General features: G+C 42.9%; 1 long non-coding RNA gene across 1 annotated transcript in view; it reads right to left on the reverse strand.

Moving 5' to 3' along the window:
- Positions 1 to 15,495: 15,495 nt before the first annotated feature.
- LOC105371986 (uncharacterized) overlaps positions 15,496 to 19,027 on the reverse strand; it is a 34,569-nt gene continuing 31,037 nt past the window's right edge. Inside the window, exon 3 of the long non-coding RNA XR_001753347.1 lies at positions 15,496 to 15,618. This is a non-coding gene — a long non-coding RNA (uncharacterized LOC105371986). The remainder of the gene's footprint in view (positions 15,619 to 19,027) is intronic.

Below are 19,027 nucleotides of genomic sequence, written 5' to 3' on the forward strand. Positions count from 1 at the left end.
GTGTGTGAATTGCTTCGAAGACCCTGACTGGCCACCCGAACAACAGGTGTCAGTTCTGAATTTAGGAGGTGCTTAGTAAATGTTTACTTCGGGATTTTAATTATAAATAATTGTCTTAATCCTAAATTATTGAATTTGACCACACTTGGAGGAGGCAGATCTTGAGTTCACTGGGTTCATTACCTGTAGCATTATACACCCACCTGGATCAGTTAATAAAAATGGATAAGCAAGAGCTACAATGAGCATCCGAGAAACACATGCCTGCCTGACCCCACACATCTGACAGTCAAAGTCAGTGACATTTCAATGCTTTTCCAACCACCAATTCGTATGATCCTCATACTGGGTGAGCACCGACGTTCTGTAGATAAGTAAATGAGGAGAAGTCGGTCCACTTTACATAAGCTTGAATCATATGTGTCAAAAAAAAAAAAAAGTAGGGGGATGTTAACATCTTTAACCATTGTGTTCCAGAAGGTAATTTTCTCCCCACCTCACTGTAGGAAACTGTGTAGCATCATTTTGCTGTTTATTCTGTCTACTCTCTTTCTTTGAAGAAATAAGTGTGATAACATAATTTCTAACTCTGTTAATCAGTAATTAAGACAAGAGAAGACATTGTTTTACTGGTAGTAAATTTGTAAGAGTAAAGCACATAAAATTGATTTGAACAATTTCCAGTGATATGCTTTTTAAAATATTTACTCTTAACTTTTCAGTAATCACATTGAGGTTTTTCTATTATCAGTATTTTAAAATGAAATTTTTAATAGTGCTGTATAAAAATTGATTTATGTCATACTAAAAACCATTTCCAGCTGATTAGTTTCTGCTGTATCTTAGGCTAACTCAAGTGCACAAAATTTACATTTAGCTGTATTTGGCTCTTGGACCTGTTATAAAATATTAGTGATGAAAACCCCTTAGTTTTAGCATGGTGTCTCTTAGCACAAATTCAGTTACAAACAGTTAAAATTTCTAAATTCTCTGCTGTAGACTTTCACATATTGGATTGTCATAATAAGCTTCAAAAAGAAGAAAATAAACACTTTTATATACAGTTATATATATATAAAACAATTTCAAAAATAGAAGAAAGTGAAAACATTTTATTTTATCAGCAAAATAAAAGTAAATACACATTTGTATGTATATTTAAAGTTGCAAAAATGTTTAATAGTGAACATCGTTAGGAGAATGTAATAAATGATAAATGTTCATTCTTTCTCATACATTTTTCTAGCTAAGTATGTGACTATAGCATGTGCTGCCTCGTTAGGTAACAAAAAATTTCTTGGATTTGACATTCAAGAAAAACTGCATTACTGTAATTAAATTAAAAATTAACTGTAATACTACCTCTAGTGATAATTCTTAAATTATTTTTCTTCAATGTTTTTCCAATGATTGTTTTATGATCTGTGAATGGATTCATAATTTTCATATTTTCAAACCAGAGCCCTTATGAAATAGTAATTTAAAAATTACTTTGAAGCATTCAGAAAATTATTTGTGCTGCTTTTTTTTTTTTTTTTGTGATGGAGTCTCGCTGTGTTGCCCAGGCTGGAGTGCAATGGCGTGATCTCAGCTCACTACAAACCTCCACCTCCCGGGTTCAAGCAATCCTTCCACCTCAGCCTCCTGAATAGCTGGGACTACAGGCACGCACCACCATACCTGGCTAATTTTTGTATTTTTAGTAGAGACAGGGTTTCACTATATTGGCTAGGCTGGTCCCGAACTCCTGACCTCAAGTGATTCACCTGCTTCGGCCTCCCAGAGTGCTGGAATTACAGGCATAGGAAAAGTATTTTTGTTGAAGTGCAGTGATATCGGCAATTTGAAAAATCAAAGAGACGTCTCATAGTGAACTTTTTTTGTGCATTTCAAAACATTTTAACTTTCTTAAATATGTGAGTTTAACTCCAAAATTGAAGACAAGTCATCATTCCTTGAAGATTCAGCTTAAGTAAAAGACACATCTATGGGAGTTTTGCAATTCATTCTTCCAAGAATATTTAGCCAAATATTAAAGAATTGTCCATTTAAGACTATAAACTAATAATCTTTTGAAAAATCTTCTTTCCAAGTAAACAAACTTTATTCAACATTAAGTAATAAATGCATTCTTATTCTCTTTTTAAAGAGAAGTGTTACATTTTTATGTCATGTATTGCCCTTAATAAAATATACACTTGTACAGATTATACAAGAACTTTAGTTAAGCGTGAAAGCATTTGTGAGGGATGGATGCTGCACAGTGTTGGCAATGACCAAACTAATGTGTGCATGTCAATCTGGCCTTGCCAGTTTGTTTAATTCTATTTCTTACACTAGATCATCTGCCAATCATATTCACCAGCCCACCCAGAAACAGTTCAATACATTTTCTATACAGATATTTTGATAATAAATGTATGTAATTATAGATTAAATATGTCAAACCAGGTACCTGAGAAGTGATTGAATAGCCTCATATTAATTCTACTTTCATATTATAATCAACAAACCAAAAACAGAATGTAAGGGCTATGCTTAAGATACCAATTAGCTTATCATCTACCAGACTAATCATTTTTATATTTTAGAATGTTTAGTGTTTTTGAATCAATATGGAATGTATGAATAGTGGTGGTTTTCATTCTTTTTTTTTTTTTTTTTGAGATGGAGTTTTGTTCTTGTTGCTCAGGCTGGAGTGCAATGGCATGATCTCGCTCTCTGCAACCTCTGCCTGCCACCACACCTGGGTACTTTTTTTGTATTTTTAGTAGAGACGGGGTTTCACCACGTTGGCCAGGCTGGTCTCGAACTCAGGTGTTCTGCCTGCCTTGGCCTCTCGAAGTGCTGGGATTACAGGCGTGAGCCACGGCGCTGAGCTGAGTTCTGATGAATTCTGATAAACCTCCCTCTCCTAATATGAGAAGTGAGTGTGTAATGGCACCTACTTCATGAAGATGGTGAGAGGATTAAATGAAATATGTGTACAGTCTTACCTAGTCAGCACACAATAAATGATAGCTGTTTTCAGTTTACAGTTGTTTTGGTTTCCTAGGGCTGCCATAACAATGTGCTGCACACCAGGTGCTTAAACAACAGATTTTTGTTTTCCTACCATTCTGGAAGCCAGAAGTTCAAGATCAAGGTTCCAGCAGGGTTGGTTTCTTCTGAGGCCTCTTTCCTTGGCTTTAGATGGCTGTCTTCTTGCTTACCCTCATGTGGTCTTTCTTTTATGCATTTTCTGATACTTAATCCCTCCCCTTATAAGGACACCAGTGATACCAGATTATGATCCACTCTAATGGCCTCCTTTTAACATAATTACCTCTTTCATTCTGAGCTACCGACTCAGAATGAAATGTATGAATTTTGAGGGGAGGGGAACCCATTTTGACCCATAACAATGGTCAACAATAAAGTTTTGTAGAATGGCAAAACATGGCTATGGAAAACTACTCATCTCTTTAGCACTCATTTTACAAAAGATCAAGCTGATAACCAAGAGGTAAAGTGTTTAGCCCAACTACACGGATTAATTTGTTCTGAACAAAGAATTTAGGCCATAAAAGCCTGATCTCTTTTCAGAAAAATTTAAAGCATCAAATACTTAATAGTTACTTAAATCAACATTTTAGCTCGTATTTTTCTGAAAATCTATTGAGAATATTTATTTCTCCTCAACCTTAAAAGTCCTTTAATTTTTTATTAAAAGTTAATTTGATGAAAATGTCTGCTTACCTTGATTCTACCTAATTTTTATGTCCTAATGATCCAATATCTTGCAGGCCATCTGGCCCTGATGATTTTTGTAAGTTCTCTGGTACAAAAAGTCACACAATATAGCTAAAATAGTATCGACTCAACGCTTGTTAGCTCTTCTGCAAATAAGCTGTGTTATTTAGGCAACTGTCTTCACCTTTGTTGGCCTCAGTCTGTTTATCTGTAAAATGAGAGAATAAAGTTCTGTGATTTTGTGAAAAACTATTGAATTCGAATGATCGTGTGAATCAAGCTATGTTTCCCATAAGGACCACACCACCATCCAATTCCAACATGCATTTGTCGTCTGCATTTCTATACAGTGGATCAGAGCTGGAAATACTACTTCCATTGCCCTTAGATGACAATCAAGGCTGGATTCAGACTGTTAAAATGCATTTTACCATGACTACAGAAAATGCTGGAATTCCCATTTTCTGGATTTCAATCAGTATTAGCTTCATTCACTCTGGTTTAAATTATTCTCTATTTTTCCTCCAAGAATTTTTGGTGTGTCTTAAGAGTTGGGAATATTGATTATTTTCACCTTAAAAAACCCTGTCTTTTAGCCGGAAGCAAGGTTTGTGAGCCACGTTCACAATCTTCCTAGAAATAAACTCTCATGGAAATCATATCATCTTAAGGAGACTCTCAAAAGTATTTTAACATTTTGTCGAGAAAAAAGGGGCAAGTAAACCTACAATAGATGCCAGTGGGGCCAGAAATAAAGAACAGAGTGCAAAATTAAAACCCCAAATCAGTTCTAAAGATTGTGACCTTCACAGCAGAAGATTCACTGAGGACATTTGAGAGTCTAGTCATCTGTGTTGACTGTTCCTTTGATCATTCTGTGTTTAAGCATATATCTCATTTACTCTCCCAACTGCCTAACAAATTATTTATAAAATTTTACAAAGAAAAGGAAACCCCCTAATAGCACTAGAAACTAGGCTATTCATTAGCATGCAAGGATGTCACCTGTCCCATCTGTGAGTATCTGGATAGATCTTGCCTCAATCAAGACGGGAAAAAAACAAAGCCAATGAAACACTTCTAGCCACAGGAAAAGAAAAGTCCTATTCAGAAGAAGCATCAGCTGGGTGCAGTGGCTCACACCTGTAATCCCAGCACTTCGGGAGGCCGAGGTGAGAGGATAGCTTGAGTCCAGGAGTTCAAGACCAGCCTGGTTTACATAGCAAGACCCTGACTCAAAATAAATAAATAAATAAATAAATAAATAAATATAAAAGAAGCACCTTACCACAAGAAATACAAGAAAGTTTTCAAAAACATTAGATTATGTTCTCAATAAATCTCAATGAAGCATGAACTTCATGAAGACAGTGATAAAGGCTGAAATATAAGATGAGATGGAGCAGGGCACGGTGGCTCATGTCTGTAATCCCAGCACTTTGGGAAGAAGCCAAGGCAGGCGGATCACCTGACGTCAGGAGTTCGAGACCAGCCTGGCCAACATGGTGAAATCCTGTCTCTATTAAAAATACAAAAAATTAGCTGGGCATGGTGGCGGGCACCTATAATCCCAGCTACTTGGGAGGCTAAGGTAGGAGAATTGTTTGAACCTGGGGGGCAGAGGTTGCAGTGAGCCAAGATCGTGCCATTGCACTCAAGCCTGGGCAACAGTGTGAGACACTCTGTCTCAAAAAAAAAAAAAAAAAAAAAAAAAAAAAAAAAAGATGTGATGGAAGGAAGCAGTGGCAACTGAAAAGGTGATGGCACAAAATTTTTAAATCCGCAAGGAGCTCAAGTTCAAGGTGAAGCTTGAGCATATGTTTGCCTTTCCTTCCAGCCCAAATTCCATGGCAATAAGTGAGGTTTATAAGAGCAGAATAAATCCATAGCAAAAAAGCATAATGAGTGAGTATGGTACTACTGGGAGAATTTTTGAGAGGCAGTTTCAAGACAGAAGTTGAACTGATGGAGAAACCAGACTCTGCAGAGGCCTCCACCTTCCAGCTCAGGGGAAAGAGGGACCAGCAAGAGAACTGCCGATGTTTCCGACGGACAGCAGCATTGGTAAAAGTAATTTAAACTGACATTACTCATTTTCAACCACTGAGATGTACTCTCCCCACCCCCCGACCCCATCCCATAAGCCTCCAGTTCATCTGGCCCCAGGGGGCTTCAGAGACCAAACCTCAAGTTCAGGAGAGAGAAGACTGTTCATCTTATGATACTGAGGGCTGAGTCTGAAGCTGGGGTGAGTCATCCATCCAGTGAGTACTCTTGGAAGGCCATACTAATAAGGCTTTGGCTATTTTAGGATTAGTTTGTGGGGATTAGTAGGGCCTGTCACAGATATCCAGTGGGGCTTTGGTGAGCAGGCTATGGATAATACAGTCCATTATGTGTATACAATTTTTGCTACTATGTAAACATCAGAAGGGCATGTGTGGAGACAACTAAACAAATAGGCAAAAATAAAAATATTGGTAGTTGAGGTGCAGAGACAACGAGTGAGTGCCTCGCTTCCTGCCCTGGCCTTGGTGGCACTGTCATAATTATGGGGCCGCCCTCATTGTGTTCAAGCAATTACCCTGTAGCAGGCTGCCTGGGCTCTGCAGCCAGCCCCATCCCCCAGATAATGAGAGGAACATCTTCGTAGAGTTGTTGTGAGTGGTAAATGAACTCGTACACAGCACATTAAAAAGTCTAAGTTGTGGCCGGGCACGGTGGCTCACACCTGCAATCCCAGCACTTTGGGAGGCCAAGGCGGGCAGATCATGAGGTCAAGAGTTAGAGACCATTCTGGCCAACATGGTGAAACCCCATCTCTACTAAAAGTACAAAAATTAGCCGGGCGTGGTGGTGCTCGCCTGTAGTCCCAGCTACTTGGGAGGCTGAGGCAGGAGAATTGCTTGAACCCAGGAGGCGGAGGTTGCAGTGAGCTGAGATCACGCCACTGCACTCCAGCCTGGCGACAGAGTGAGACTCCGTCTCAAAAAAAAAAAAAAAGTCTAAGTTGTTAGCTCTATTTCTTGTCTGTCTTCCCGCTGAATTATGCACCTCTGTGCGTGGAGGCTGTGTCTGTTTGATTCTCCAAAGCATGCCTAGTATCTAGTACAGCACTACAGCAAAAAGTGTAGGATAAATGCTTGTTAAAAACCTGGATTTTAGTTTAAAAAATAATATTTTTCATATCGCATGGTTTTCAGCAAAAAATAAAACCTATCATTCTACGTTTCCTCATTGGGACGCCTCTGGTTTTGCTCTTGTCGCCCCGTGTAGCAGTTTAGATTTGTCATCAATTACAAAAGACACAGAGTAACCTGGCCTCTATACTGTTCACCCATCTGTTGCTCTTTCATGAGGCAAACTCCTCACAGGTGATAAACGAACTTAACCCTAAAAGAAAATGACATCACCTGCATCTCAATGTAGTTCTGCAAGGCTGAGTCTGTGTTTCTGGCCCTGCCTATGCCGCTGATGGGCCTGCCAGGATTCTCTTCACTTGGTTTCTGCCCTTCAGTTCAGTTTCCTTATCTGCGAAGTCAGCTTTAGGCTTTGTTCCTGACAATGGGAGGGTTGGGAAAGGTGAGAGGCTGGGAGAAAGAAGGGAGGGTGAACAGGTGGAGTCTACACTTGCCTTCCCCTGCCCCTAGCAAAGCTGCCCCTGCTCCTGCCAGAGGCGTTGAGCTTCCACTTCCAAAAAGAAGTTACTTCTGCCACATGCTTTGAAAATCACTTCACTCAATAATTGCCAAAGTTTCTTTCGCCTTCGACAGATTTTGACTCAGTCCACTCCTGCTTTGGAAGTGTATATATATCTTTTATAACTTCAAAACTCTGACCAGAGGGAAATGAGTTCAATATATGGCTAAATAAGAGCAATGAAGTAGTGAAATGAAGGGTTACTTTGATCTTTGTTAACAGCAACACGTATATATACAAATTCTCTCCCACCTGCCACCCATTCTAAACCCTTTCTTCATCCTGCGTTGAGTTCGAGTTTCAGTTAAACTTGTCATCTCCATCAAATCACCCGGGTAGGGCAGGAGGTCATTTTCTTTATCTATCGATCACTCTATCTATCTATCATCTCTCACCGTAGCAGTTCACTCTGGAATGAAAGACTTTCAAATTTGTGGTTTCCTGAACATGTCAAATTCCTATCTGCCTTCATAGCTCTCTATATGCATATTCCCTCTTGCTGAGGAAGTTATTTCTTCACTGTTTACCCATTGAACATTCAGATATCCCATACTGTGATCTCTGGAGCCTACCTCTTTATAATTTATATCACAGGTAATTACAGTTATTTAAGTATGTATTTCCTCTCCTAAACTCTGAGTTCCTCCAGGGCTGGGACCACATCGGAATCACCTATCCCTTGCACTGAGCAGACACTAGATAATTATCAGGTGCTCAGGAATGTCTGATCAATACTGAATGCAGAGATGTGGAAATGTGCATTCATTATAGCTCTCACAGTAGGTTTCTAGTGTCAGCTTTTGTAGTCTCATACTAAAGGAAGGAGACTTTGATGAGGGTAGATAGATTGGGTGTTTATCAAACATGGTAATGCAGGGGTCATAAGACACTTGCTTAGGACGAGAAACCTCACAAGTGATTCCAGGCACGGAGAGCCACGCGGAAGGAGGCCCAAAACTACATACACCCTCCTTTTAGTGTCCCAGAAAGGAAATGAGACATCAGACCGTGGGAATTACAGGGGACAGTGAGAAGCTCAACCAGGGAAAGGGAATATTTAAGGACATCATACCAGCTATTTTCAGATTTTCCAATAGCAATCATGTCAGTGAGAGACTAGATTTGTTCTAAGCTTTTGCATGTTGCAGAGTAAGGACCAGTGTGATGGAGATTTGGGTATAATTTCAGGAGGAAGTGCTGAAACTTTCCTCTGTCTTACAGTGGAGTAGCTTGTCTCTGGAGCACGCTGTCCTGCCCCTGACCACGAGGGTCCTGGCGTATGTCAGAGAACCTTGGCGAGGGCACCCACTTCACAGGGCCCATTAGACCAGATACGCTCCAACAGCCCTTCCTCAAGCCTTGGGGTTTCTGGTTCCACAGTTTGGGAGAAGAGAAATACTGAGCAAAGATAACCAATACGGAAGGATAGCTTTGTGATTTTTGCTACCCAAGAATGATATTAAATTATTAAATTCCCCCACCCCACACAATGATAAACTTCAGTTTGTTGCTCAAGATAAAAACGATCTGTGAATAAGACTTTGTCATAAAATGAGCTGTCTACTTCCTAAGCTTATTTGAGTCCTGACCCCCAACCTGAGAGGTGGCTTGTCATCGTATCTCTTCTTATTGCTTGGTGGAGGAGTCAAAATTAATAGTGGGGAATATCCCTTTCTGGCCTGTTTTCAATTATCAGAAGATTTAGCCGGCTCGGAGGTGGGGGACTCTGCTGTCTCTGCTGCCCTGCGACCTCCTGAGTTAGTTCCTTTTATCTCTTTCTGGATGCCCTCAGCCCCAGCATGCCATGCTGCACTGGCTAAATAAACCCGTAAATCTAGCTTTTGTGCCCTGCTAATCCTTTTATTTCCTAAATCTTATTTAATCCGAAAGGCTGCCTTTCATCTCTTGAACTGTCCGCTGGGTCACTCACCCGTCCTATCAGCAGTCCTTGCAAACCCTGGACAGAGTCGAAAAGCTTCCCATAGTCTCCGGATTCTCATTAGGTGCTGGTGGACTAGGGGACTCCTGCCAAGTGGCACTCTAGAGAAAGGCCCCACCTGCAGGGGTCTGCTGCACTCAGGGAAAGTTGAGACCTGTGCATTGCTCACCTGGACACTGCCCCGCCCGCCAGCAAAACCAGCTCCTCTCCTCTGCGATGCTCTGGGATGATGAAAGGAGAAAGGTTGCCTCTCTGGCCTCCGGGACATTGGACCACAGGCCAATGACAAAATTAATTTGGGCACAAAGAAACAAGGAAGGGCCATTTCCTGCTAAGTACAATTTGGTTTTTGTCTAACTTAAGTAAAGATAAGCCCTGGGGAAAAAGAATAGTAACTAAGACAATTTCACTGTCTAACGACAGGCAACAGGCAAATTCATCCAACATCCAAAATGACCATTTGCATCTCAACTCCTCCTAGATGCTTATTTGGAAAAAGGATGTAATAGGAAATTAAAATCTCAGACATCACGTTTGTAACTTTGTTATCATCAGCATTTGTTTGCTGACTTTGAGAGTTTGACTCCCCTGCCTTCCCTGTCCCAAGCGCTCCTGCCCCTTCCTATAAAGACCCACACTTTTTGGCCTGTTCCTCTATTGTCTTATGATTGTTCCTGTATTGTTACTTATTAGATCTGTTTTCATGAGAGTAGTTGAAAAATCCCTGGACTTAGAGTCGAGAGCATTCCATCCATCTTTAACGTAGGCTTTTTACCACTTGTCTGATGTTAGTGAAGACATGGCAAGCCCCACTGCTTCCATTTTCCCAAATGTAAACTAGGAAAGTGATATTGGCCTGGCAGTATTGGAGAAGGGTTAAATGAGATGAGAAATGTAAAGCAACTGAGAGAGCAATACATAGCAGGCCAAAAAAAAAGAAAAAAGAAAAAAACAGTTAGCTTCATTGTCTACGAAGTTTTTGTGAGGATTCGTGAGATAATGTGTGTGCAAGTGACTTTTTACTCTCAAGAAGATAATATGAGTATAAATGATGCTTGCATAGACCTTGTTTCCCCAGTGAGGTTGTAGAAGTATATGAATTATAAGAATGTTAGTGAGAGTTGGGCGCAGCGGCTCACGCCTGTAATCCCAACACTTTGGGAGGCCGAGGAGGGTGGATCACCTGAGGTGAGGAGTTCGAGACCAGCCTGGCCAACATGGTGAAACCCTGTCTCAACTAAAAATACAAAAAAATTGGCTGGATGTGGTGGTGGGTGCCTGTAATCCCGGCTACTCGAGAAGCTGAGGCAGGAGAATCGCTTGAACACGGGAGACGAACTTTGCAGTGAGCTGAGATCGCGCCACTGCGCTCCAGCCTGGGCAACAAGAGCGAAACTCCATCTCAAAAAAAAAAAAAACGATAATAATGATAAGGATGTTAGTAGATATCCTACACGCCCCCTTCCCCCTACTGCTGCCTTGCCAGGAACTGGAAAATAATCATATCAATAATAAATGAAGGAAATGAATATCTCCAAGGCCAATGTGATTAGCAACTAGTTCTAGTTTAATTAACCAATGTATGCACCAAGCTAAAGACAAACTCTCTTATTAGACAAGCCAATGGGATGGAGAAAATAGGAAAGATGGAGAGGACCAGCTCTCCAGGAAGGGAGATGCAGCGCTGGAGGACAGGAGCTCTCTGACCAGCAGCTACCTGGCTGCAAGATATTCAAGGCAACCTACTTTCTCCTTTCTTTAAACCCCCGTTTCTAAGCAACCTTCTGACCACTGCTTTTCTCTCCCAGTCCCTTCCTACTCGGCAGGTGCACCTTGGATGACAGTCCAATCCACAGGAAGAGTCTTCCTCATAGTAACTTAATGCTTTGCTGGTTTGGGCTGCAGAGCAGTCTCTCTCTCGAGGTGGGATAGTGTGAGTCCAGCATCGGCAGTCTGACTTTTGCTGATGGTGCTGCTAACTGCTAGCTCCTGGGTCCTCCACGCTGAGGACCAGAGTCTAGATGATTTGAGTTGCCTACGGTCCTGCCGTAAGGAGAGTCCGTTGAGTAATACCGTCCCCTGTCTGGGAGTACTCTTTAGATTTAGTCAAAGACACTGGGAATCCAAGCCTTACTATCGGTTTCTTTGGATTTCCCATGAAGTATTCAGCATAGTGCTTTACTTAAACAGGTGCTGAAATCATTCACTGTCTAGAAATGTGGAATATTTGCTTTTTAATACTTTAAGATGATCGTCTGAATGGTCTGCCATCCTAGTGTGGACCTCAGCCAGACACATTCCTGAGTGATAACCTTCCCCGGGCATTTCTGCACCCACCTGTGCTCTGAATGGAGCTGCAGTGTCACATATGAGACCCTTATAGGTCACCTGAGGCCTCTTTCCTTCTTTTCCGTGTTCTTAAAACATCTTTGCGATTTTTGCTACTCTAGATTGATAAGAAATTCCCCCTTCCCACACAATGATAAATTTTGGTTTGTTGCTCAAGATAAAAATGATCTGTGAATAAGACTTTGTCATAAAATGAGCTGTCTACTTCCTAAGCTTATTTGAGTCCTGACCCCCAACCTGCAAGGTGGCTTGTCATCGTAACTCTTCTTGTAATGTGACTTGCTTTGTGGAACTTATTTCATTCTTTATTGCTTTGTAAATTGTTTTTTATATTCTTCTAGCTCCCATAAATTGTCAGCATCCAGAAAAGTTCCCTGTTATAGTTCATCTTAGAAATGCCCTGTACAAAAATGATCCAGTAAAGAGCTCAGTCCCTATTTTTTGAAAAGAATTATGCCGCTTCCTGAATATGGCTCCCTTGAACTTCTCAAGCCTCACTCTTACCTTATCACACATTAAAGCTGGTTCTAATCTGTTTAGTGTGATGTCAACCTGGGAGAACTTAAATTTTTGTAAAAAGCCACACTTTTAACCTATAGGATTCCACGAGAAATAATTGATATTTCTAAGGTGAAAAATGTCACTAAAGGAAGGAAGGGCTATGCTCTGTGCCTTTCCACCGAAGAACTGCAAGAAGCTGTGGTGCTGGATGGCTGGGGGTTGGGGGAGAATGGTGGTGATGGCCAACCCAGGGGCCTCTTCCCCACCCACAGGCCAGGAAGTCCAAAAAGCCGGTGGGTTACTCCAAGTATGTAATTGTTATGGAAACAGACCCGCCCTCTCCCTTGAACCATCTGTTTCAATGTTAGAGTTTGTTAATTCTAGGGAGTTTTTGAATGTCCAAGTTTTAAATACTTTGAAGGTTATAATGATAGTTTTCCCTTAAGACATAGGTTGTTTAATAGTGTGTTAAGACATCGCTTAACTCTTATAGTACGCAGTTTTCTAAAAATGGAAAATGTGGGACCAGGCACCGTGGCTCATCCTGTAATTCCAACACTGAGAGGCCGAGGTAGGAGGATCGCTTGAGCCCAGGAGTTTAAGACCAGTCTGGGTAAAATGACAAAACCCTGTCTCTACAAAAAAAAAGAAAAAAGAGGTAGGAGGATCGCTTGAGCCCAGGAGTTTAAGACCAGTCTGGGCAAAATGACAAAACCCTGTCTCTGCAAAAAAAAAGAAAAAAGAATCCAAAAAAAAAGTCTGGCATGGTGGCACCTGCTTGTACCTGTAGACCCAGCTATTCAGGAGACTGAGGTGGGAGAATCACCTGAGCCCAGGAAGTCAAGGCTGCAGTGAGCCATGATCATGCCACTGCACTCCAGCCTGGGCAACACAGCAAGACCCTGTCTCAAAAAAAAAAAAAAAAGAAAGAAAAGAAAAAGAGGGAAGCTGATCTTTAAGGGACTTATGGCCTTAAAAAGAGAGAGAAAGAAGGTCAACACAAATAAAGTGTGTAAAGACACAATGGCAGCAACCTGTAAACATAGACATCTATGGAACAGCTGGGCAGAGAGGCACACACAGGCGATAAGGGGTTTTCACAAGAAATTTGAACAATTAGAAACATTTTGCAAAGCCCAGAACACATAAATCTGAGCAAAACAACCCTTCCAGGCTGGCAAGAGGAGAAGCAGATGTGACGTGGGAACCACTTAGAGAGGGGACTGTTTGTCCTTAGTGTCCCCTCCTGTGACCTAACAAAAGGTCCTCATGGGGTGCGCCCCGCCCGCCATTCCCTTGTGCTGGGTTTTGTGCTCCATGGCCAAGGTCTCCGCCCAGGGTCCCTTGCTAGGCAGGCCACGCGAAACACGCAGTGCACGTGTGCACACGCCATGTCCCTGGAGGGCAGGAATGTGGGTGTGGAGCAAGAGCCCGCAGGCTTCGGAGGCTCCCCACCCCAAATCTTAAGAGCATAGTCATTAAGTGTCCTCAAAATACTTAACAAAAATAGCCTGAGACATTAAGAGCAAGGCGTTTCCATTACTAGCACTACCCAGCTTGCTAATGCTTGCTAGCCCTGTGCTTCTCAAATGTGAATGATGTAGAACTCCCTCAGAAGGGAAACATATTCTGTTGCATCCCTAGAGTTGACCTAAACGTATTTTTGTTACAGTATTTACATACATAAACACTACATTAACATAAATAAACACTACATTATGTCTAGAGTCCTTATATTCTTAATCAACTCTAAAACCTGGAATTGACTGGATTACATTTTCCAGTATTAGGCAGAATGAGGGCTCAAGATAAAAGTTCAGCACAATTAGACAGATAGAAGATTGCGTTTTTGTACCCAAGATGATGTGATTCTGAAAAATAGACCTGCTACAATATGTTCAAATATATACACAACCTTTAAAATCATTTCATATACCTGCATAATGATATGAGTATCACTTTTTAAGAAATGCTGCTGTGATGGAAATTAAAGCCTATTAGTCCACAAAGTTAAAAAGAAAAACATCCCTGGTGGGAAGAATACATTTACCTAATTTCCCCAGGTTTAACCTGTAGAGTTCCATGAAAAATTCTTGATGTTTCCAAGTTGAAAAAGGTCACAGAAGGACCCAGTATGGAGAGCTATGCTCTTTCCACTAAAGAGCAGATTCAAGCCCTTGGTGCAAGGCTAGTGGGATGATAGGAGAATGGTGGTAGTGGCAGAATATGTCTGTTCTGTGAGAATGTCTTTAAGTTGATTTTTGTTTGGGCGTTAATCTTTAAAATGTACTTGCGTTAGAGACTTTTTCTCCAGATCACAGACGAGGGACAGAGTCCACCAGGTGAATGGAATAGCAGGAGCTGCCCCACCTCCCCTGACCAACTCAGCGAACCTGGGTTTGAAGAAGATGGAAAGAGGAGAGAATATCTTGCGCATCTTGAGCAAAATATGTTCTCCCGTCTCCAGTCTCCACGTTTGTAAAGTAGAGCTGAGAGGACTTAGCTTGTGAGGCGTGCCAGTGTGTGCCCTGGCAGGCAATAGGCACTTGATAAACATCATTTTCTACTCCCAGGATTAGTTTTTTGCTTCTTAATGATTGAAAGCAGGTAGGCCATTAAAAGGATGTTCAGAAAGCACTCCCATTGCACACAGTATCTTCTCCTTGTCCACTGGGGTGGGCAACAGCAGGATCCCTTCTCACGTGCCCAGATGAAGTAGGGAAAGTGTTGACAGGGATGGGAGCCAGGCCCCCAGATTAGTGAACCCTGGAATAGATGGACACGGCAGAGCGGGGCCCACAAGGAGATGCCTGGGGGTGAGGAGCGGCCCCAAGGGAAGATGGGCTAAGAGTAAGAACAGCCAGGATGCCTGTGCAAAGGGCTTGTTGGGCTGGATGTCTGTCGTCCCATTTTTTTCCTTTGTTTTATTCTTTTTAAAAGTGGATTTTTTTTTTTTAATAGAGTCTCACTTTGTCACCTAGGCTGGAGTGCAGTGGTGTGATCTTGGCTCACTGCAGCCTCAACCTCTTAGGCTCAAGCCATCCTCCCACCTCAACCCTTACAAGTAGCTGGGACTACAGGCACATGCCACCACGCCTGGGCTAATTTTTTTTTTTTTGTATTTTTTATAGAGGCAGGATTTCGCCATGTTGCCCAGGCTGGTCTTGAACTCCTGAGTTCAGGTGATCCACCCGCCTCAGCCTCCCAAAGTGCTAGGATGACAGGCATGAGCCACGCACCCGGCCTGTCATCCCATTTAAGTGCTCTCATACTCACGTTTCATGGTGTGTGTCTGGATTCCAATGGTGATGACGGATGTCCCCGAAAGTAAACTGGATCAGACACATATGAAGGGCCAAGCACATTGCAGACATCATCATCCCTGCTCTCACAATGCCCTGAAAGATTTTCCCAGATGTGGATACTTGGTAATTCACTAAGGTAATGGTTTGTACTTGTGATATTCATTCTTCTCCAATTTTTTTAAACAAATAGTTATTTAGATGGATGGATTCTAACAAATGAAAGATTCGTGGAATAGGCTTAGGACAAGGTGGCTTTATATGTACAACTGAACTAGTTGTTTAACTTCAGATTTTTAGCTTCCACATTTATTGAATGAGAGAAAATAAGATCTAACTTTTGAGGTTAAATTTATTTTTAAAAGGACACACATTTATTGAAAAACACCAAAAAATCAAAGTCCCAATTCCAAGAACTCCCTCAGTCATGGGCAAACTAGACTTTTCCTAGTCACTGTCTGGGAAGTTGGCTGTGAAAACTGGAAAGTTTCATAAATAGAGTTGAAGCTGCCACTGTCCTGAGTGTCATCATCAGGACCTTTGGCTGGTGATGGCTCTAGCTTTATGGTCTTGTCACAAAGGTTCTGCCTGGACACGTGCAAACCTGGGCTGAAATCCCAGCTGTGCCTATAAGAAGTCTACCTCAAATTTAAAAACAACAACAAGAAAGAGTTAAGTCACACAGCCTGGGAGCGGTAGATGGGGAATTTGTAACAGGGTTGTGGAGCCCAGAGCTGCTGCTCCCACCGCTACGGTATCACAGTGTCTCTTAGCACTAGAGATGGTCTCATTCCTCTTCCTTATTTTAAAAGCATCTTGTTCTTCGCTGAATTTCTTTTTGCCTCCTCTTGTCCGGTGCCTCCTCAGGAAGCTCTTGAGAAAACAGGTAAGTGATAAAATAAGCAGCTGGAGAGGCGGCTGCCAAGTGAGCTATGTAGGAAGGACCATCACCCCTGGGGTACCTCCCAGAGGAACCCTACTCCCAGCAACACGCTGTTGACATCTCAGGACCCTGTTGGGGAGCAGAGCCAGCCAGCCTGCTGCTGGAGAAGCCTCTAGAAATGTCCTCGCCTCTAGAAGTCCCCTTCATTTCATGGATAATTGAACTGTGGTGTGAGGCAGTCTGGGCCTGTCTGGAAAAGGTTTTCTTTCAGCCAGTATGCTGGGGAGCAGGCAGCTTGTTCACTAACCGGAGTGAACCCTCTCCCCCTTCCCTTGCTCAGGTGCTGAAGGAGGCAGCAGCTTTCAGGTAACCTAACATCCGAGGAGGTGATCCAGCCCACGCTCACGAGGAAGCCGTTCCCAGCCTTCCATGGGAACCAGATGAAGAAATAATAAAGAAAATGCCAAGAAAATTAGCCCCGCAAGCCAGGAAGCCCGGGGCCTTTGCTCAACCCACAGGCCGCAAGAGACAGTGCCAGATATCCAGAAAGCCCCATCCATGGGTCGGGCATGGCTCCCAGAAGCTCCTAGGGATGCAGGTGTGGGGTCGTTGAGAAGCTCGGCTTCTTCAAGTCATTTGGGTGACGTGGGATTTTTCATTGTCACCTCCTTCTGCATCATGGCTGGGCTGAGTGACCCTCACTGTGGACAAGGACCATGCTGTACACTCTGGGAGCTGCCAACACCCCCAGGGCCCAACCCTGCTGGAGGGTAAGCTCATGTGATCAAGGAGCTCTGATGCCTCTGCACATGCGGTGAGGGCCAGGAGGCATCTGACAGCAATCCCGGGGCAGCCCAACCCATGAACTGGAGAGGAGTTACCCCAACCACAGGGGCCTGGGACAGGGCCTGCAAAGGAGACCTGAGTGACAGGGTCGTGGCCAAAAGAAAAGGTGCCTGGGCATCCACATGCTCTTGTCCATTCTGTCACTCCTAAATCTCTATTCTCTGCATTTCCAGTGGCTGCCTGGTCTGCATCCTCATCCACAGCTCAGGTCCCTCCCAGTTCCCTTTATTGTCAGCCCCACTCCTGCTCTGCACAGGCTGTGCTCCTCCCCTGTGGCCATGCCACCTCCCACTTACCCTCTGACCTCAGGGTGTCTGCAGAGCCCACTGCGGCTCCCTTGAACTGAGACCAAGGAGGCGCCGCTCATGACCCTTGCTTTGGAAACTTCCACTGTTTCTTTCCTCTCCCACCCCCTAACCATGAATCTGATAAACGGTCCATGGTCCTTTGATAACAGGTGTTGGTGGTTAACATCTGACTCTAGTCAGACGTCTGCATTTTAACAGAGGCACTTATGAGAATGCCCTGACAAGTCTGGTCTCACCAGCATTGCAGGCAGCAGGGCCCACCTTGCAGGTGGGCTGGGGGATGTTATTAGGCAGACAGAGCATTTTTGTCTCTATAATCAAAGCACTGAATAACATGTTTATTCCACTTCTCCTAAAACTTGTCGAGGCCCAGCTAGCACCCACCCACCATGATATGGTTTGGCTCTGTGTCTCCACCCAAATCTCATCTTGAATTGTACTCCCATAATTCCCACGTGTTGTGGGAGGGACCTGGTGGGAGATAATTGAATCATGGAGACAGTTTCCCCCATACTTTTCTCCTAGTAGTGAATACATCTCACAAGATCTGATGGTTTTATCAGGGGTTTCCACTTTTATGTCTTCCTCACTCTCTCTTTGCCTGCTGCCATCCATGTAAGATGTGACTTGCTCCTCTTTGCCTTCCACCATGATTGTGAGGCTTCCCCAGCCACTGGACCTGTAAGTCCAATTAAACCTCTTTCTTTTGTAAATTGCCCAGTCTCAGGTATGTCTTTATCAGCAGCATGAAAACAAGCTAACACACAACCCACCAGACCACCCCTCCGGTATGCTCACACGCCCCCTTGCAAAGGACTGCAAACTGGCCAGAGGGCACAGGTGTCCCTTTTCTAAGAGTTATAGCTCATACCAGACAGAAATTCTCTCTACTCTATTTTATAGAGTGAGATCACTACATTGAGTGATACAGTAAATACAATGTTCATGTAAATATAACATAAAATTCAACCAAATATTTTCTGCAAATATGACATGCTTCTCTTTGCTTTTTCACATATATGTCATGTCCTGCCGTGGGACTTTAGTGTCATAGAAAGAACAAGAGTTTGGTGTCGGACAGTTATGTGTTCAGATCCTGGTGTTGGGCTACTGCCAGGAAAGATGAACCCATTCTTAAACCTGCAACACCCTTCTGGAAGGGACCTCCTCTCATAGGTCCTCAGACCTCTTTATCATAATGAGAGGAAGAAAGCACCTGCCTGGGATGGCCCACCATGTCTCTGCAGACGATGGGCTCACAGCTTGCAGGCCCCACAGCCCAGGGCTTTCCTGCACAGCTGAGAGGAAACTCCCATCTCAGGACTTCCAGCTGGGAGGAAGTTCCAGTCCATGCCCACATATGACCAGCATTGTATACACAAGCGGTATCTGCTTATAACTTGTAAATACTGATTTCACTCAGAATTCTGTCTTTGCCCTTCTCACCACTTGACATGCTCTTTTGAAG

This window comes from Homo sapiens, chromosome 18 (genome assembly GCF_000001405.40).
Source record: "Homo sapiens chromosome 18, GRCh38.p14 Primary Assembly".
NCBI lineage: Eukaryota > Metazoa > Chordata > Mammalia > Primates > Hominidae > Homo > Homo sapiens.